Source organism: Homo sapiens, chromosome 11, assembly GCF_000001405.40.
Source record: "Homo sapiens chromosome 11, GRCh38.p14 Primary Assembly".
In the NCBI taxonomy this organism is placed as follows: Eukaryota; Metazoa; Chordata; class Mammalia; order Primates; family Hominidae; genus Homo; species Homo sapiens.
This window is the reverse complement of record NC_000011.10, coordinates 75,078,026-75,081,752: the sequence shown is the minus strand read 5'-3', so window position 1 is coordinate 75,081,752 and position 3,727 is coordinate 75,078,026. Positions and strand designations below refer to the sequence as shown.

Sequence of the window (3,727 nt, the reverse complement as noted above, 5' to 3'; positions counted from 1 at the left end):
GTTGATTTTCAATGTTTATACATGTTATAACATTACAACATGATGTTGTAATGATGTACAAAATCTTTATGATAAATAAAATTATTGCACTTAATGTCATTTCTCTGAAAAATGACTAATTAATTTCATTTTTGTGAATTTAATTTCATTTTTTTGAAAACAAAAATCATCAAATTCCTTAATGCTGTATCAAACATAAGCAATACCAGTTCAAATTAGAGAAAAGGTATGCCAACACCAGATTTTGACAACAAAAAGAAAGTTAAAGCCCTACTATTTGTCTAATCTAGGTCAGGTAACCATGGAAATGAAAGAATATTAAAATTATTTATTTTATTATAGCATACATTGAAGAAAATCATAACCCCATTAAAAAGTGGACAAAGCAGGAGTTCGAGGCCAGCCTGACCAACATGGTGAAACCCGTCTCTACTAAAAATACAAAAAATTAGCTGGGTGTGGTGGTGGGCACCTGTAGTCCCAGCTACTCGGGAGGCTGAGGCAGGAGAATCACTTGAACCTGGGAGGCGGAGGCTGCAGTGAGCCAAGATCATGCCACTGCACTCTAGCCTGGGCGACAATGTGAGACTCTGTCTCAAAAAAAAAAAAAAAAAGAAAAAAGTGGGCAAAGGACATGAACAGATACTTCTCAAAAGAATACATACATGTGGCCAACAAACATATGAAAAAAAGTTCAACATCACTGATCCTTAAAGGAATGCAAATCAAAACCACAATGAGATATTATCTCACACCAATCAGAATGGCTATTATTAAAAAGTCAAAAAACAACAGATGCTGGCAAGGTGGTAGAGAAAAAGAAACACTTTTCCACTGTTGATCAGAGTGTAGATTAGTTCAACCAGTGTGGAAGACAGTGTGGTGATTCCTCAAAGACCTAGAGGCATAATAGCACCATTTGACCCAGCAATCCCATTACTTGGAATATACCCAAAGGAATATAAATCATTCTCTTATAAAGGTATATGCATGTGTATGTTCATTGCAGCATTATTCACAATAGCAAATACAGTGAATCAACCTAAATGCCCATCAATGATAGACTGGATAAAGAAAGTGTGGTACATATACACCATGGAATACTATGCAGCCATAAAAAGGAATGAGATCATGTCATTTGCAGGGATATGGATGGAACTGGAAGCCCTTATCCTCAGGAAACTAATGCAGGAACAGAAAACCAAATACCGCATGTTCTCACTTATAAGTGGGAGCTGAATGATGAGAACTCATGGACCCATGGTGGGGAACAACACACACTGAGGCCTGTAAGAGGTGGGGGCAGTAGGAGGAGGGAGAGCATTGGGAAGAATAACTAACAGATGCTGGACTTAATACCTAGGTGATGGGATGATTTGTGCAGCAAACCACCATGGCACCTGTTTACCTATGTAACAAACCTCCACGTCTGCACAAGTACCCCTGAACTTAAAAGTTGGAAATTAAAAAAAAAAAAACACAGAAATCCCATGTGTTTCTCATCCCAACTATCAATAATAATTATTGCCCTGGTGTGAGTCCATCCTGCACAGCTGTTCTCTTGAGCAGTGGTTGTTTATCTCTGTCCGCCTTCTCTCCCACCTAAGGGTGTGCCACCACCCATTCAAAGATTCGATGGACCTGGACATGAGCCCCCTGAGGCCCCAGAACTATCTTTTCAGTTGTGAACTAAAGGCCGACAAAGATGATCACTTTAAGGTGGATAGTGATGAAAATGAGACCAGTTATCTTTAAGAACGGTCAGTTTAGAGGCTGGTGCAAAGGATTGCACGTTGTTGAAGCAGAGGCCATGAATTGCGAAGGCAGTCAATTAAGGTAACACTGGCAACTTTGAAAATGTCTGTACAGCCAACAGTTACCCTGTGGGGCTTTGAAATAACACCACCTTACGGTTGAAGTGTGCTTCAGGGCCAGTGCATATTAGTGGGCAGCACTTAGTAGTTGTGGAGGAAGATGTAGAGTCAGAAGATGAAGAGGAGGATGTGAAACTCTTGAGTATATCTAGAAAGCAGTCTGCTCCTGAAGGTGGTAGCAAGGTTCCACAGAAAAAAGAAAAACTTGCTGCAGATGAAGATGATGACAACAATGAAGAGGATGATGATGATGAAGAGGAGGAGGAGGATGATTTCGATGATGAGGAAACTGAAGAAAAAGCACCAGTGAAGAAATCTATACGAGATACTCCAGCCAAAAATGCACAAAAGTCAAATCAGAATGGAAAAGACTCAAAACCATCAACACCAAGATCAAAAGGACAAGAATCCTTCAAAAAAAAAAAAACAGGAAAAAACTCCTAAAACACCAAAAGGACCTAGTTTTGTAGACGACATTAAAGCAAAAATGCAAGCAAGTATAGGAAAAGGTGGTTCTCTTCCCAAAGTGGAAGCCAAGTTCATCAGTTATGTGAAGAATTGCTTCCAGATGACTGACCAGGAGGCTATTCAAGATCTCTGGCAGTGGAGGAAGTCTCTTTAAGAAAATAGTTTAAGCAATTTGTTAAAAATTTTTTGTCTTATTTCATTTCTGTAACAGTTGATATCTGGCTGTCCTTTTTATGATGCAGAATGAGAATTTTCCCTGCTGTGTTTGATAAATGTTGTCCAGGTTCCATTGCCAACAATGTGTTGTCCAAAATGCCTGTTTAGTTTTTAAAGATGGAACTCCACCCTTTGCTTGGTTTTAAGTATATCTGGAATGTTATGATAGGACATAGTAGTAGCAGTGATCAGACATGGAAATGATGGGGAGACAAAACTATACATGTGGAATGAAACTGAGTATTTTAATTAAAAAATAATACTTATCAAGCAACCATGCTGATAGGAACAGCTGAATTATATTTCTCTTCTCTTCTTTTCTTTTTTTTTCTTTCGAGACAGAGTCTCACATGGTTGCCCAGACTGGAGTGCAGTGGCGAGATCTCTGCTCGCTGCAATCTCTGCCTCCTGGGTTTAAGCAGTTCTCATGTCTCAGCCTTCCGGGTAGCTGGGACTACAGGCCATGCCACCACACCTGGCTAATTTTTGTATTTTTAGTAGAGATGAGGTTTTGCCATGTTAGCCGGGCTGGTCTTGAACTCCCAACTTCAGATGATCCACCCACCTCGGCCTCCAAAAGTACTGGGATTACAGGCATGAGTCATCGTGCCCAGCCATATTTCTGTTTTCTTTACTAAATAATGATTTTATAAAATTCCTGACACACAGGTTTTGGCATTCCTTCTCTGCAGTGTCATCCTCTCCTAGAATTTGCCTCTTAAGTTCCAGTCACTTTGGTAACCTAAACTCCAAACAGTGGGGCTTGTGTTTCCTAATTGGGTTCTACTTTCCCATCCTGCAAGCTGGGAAATACCTTAGGATAAAAAGCTGGAGTCAGGTGGAACTAGCCTCATGTGACTCCTCTCTCAAGGACTGCAGTCCTTCAAGACCTGCCATTGGTTGCTCTCTGAGGTCTTCAGACCATTGTTTTACATATGTCCAGCTTTTACAGTTGTTTTTGGCAGAAAGTTTAGTCCCAGAGAAGCCACACTGTCATAGACAAAACTTAAAAGTCCCCTTTAAATTTTTTTTTTTTAGACAGAGTTTCACTCTTGTTGCTCAGGCTGGAGTACAATGGCACAATCTTGGCTCACTGCAACCTCCACCTCCCGGATTCAAGTGATTCTCCTGCCTCAGCCTCCCAAGTAGCTGGGATTACAGGTGTGTGC

General features: G+C 40.4%; 1 pseudogene; it reads left to right on the top strand.

Annotated features, from left to right (window-relative positions):
• On the top strand, positions 1,525-2,582 carry NPM1P50 (nucleophosmin 1 pseudogene 50; annotated as a pseudogene).
• The last annotated feature ends 1,145 nt before the right edge of the window (positions 2,583-3,727 follow it).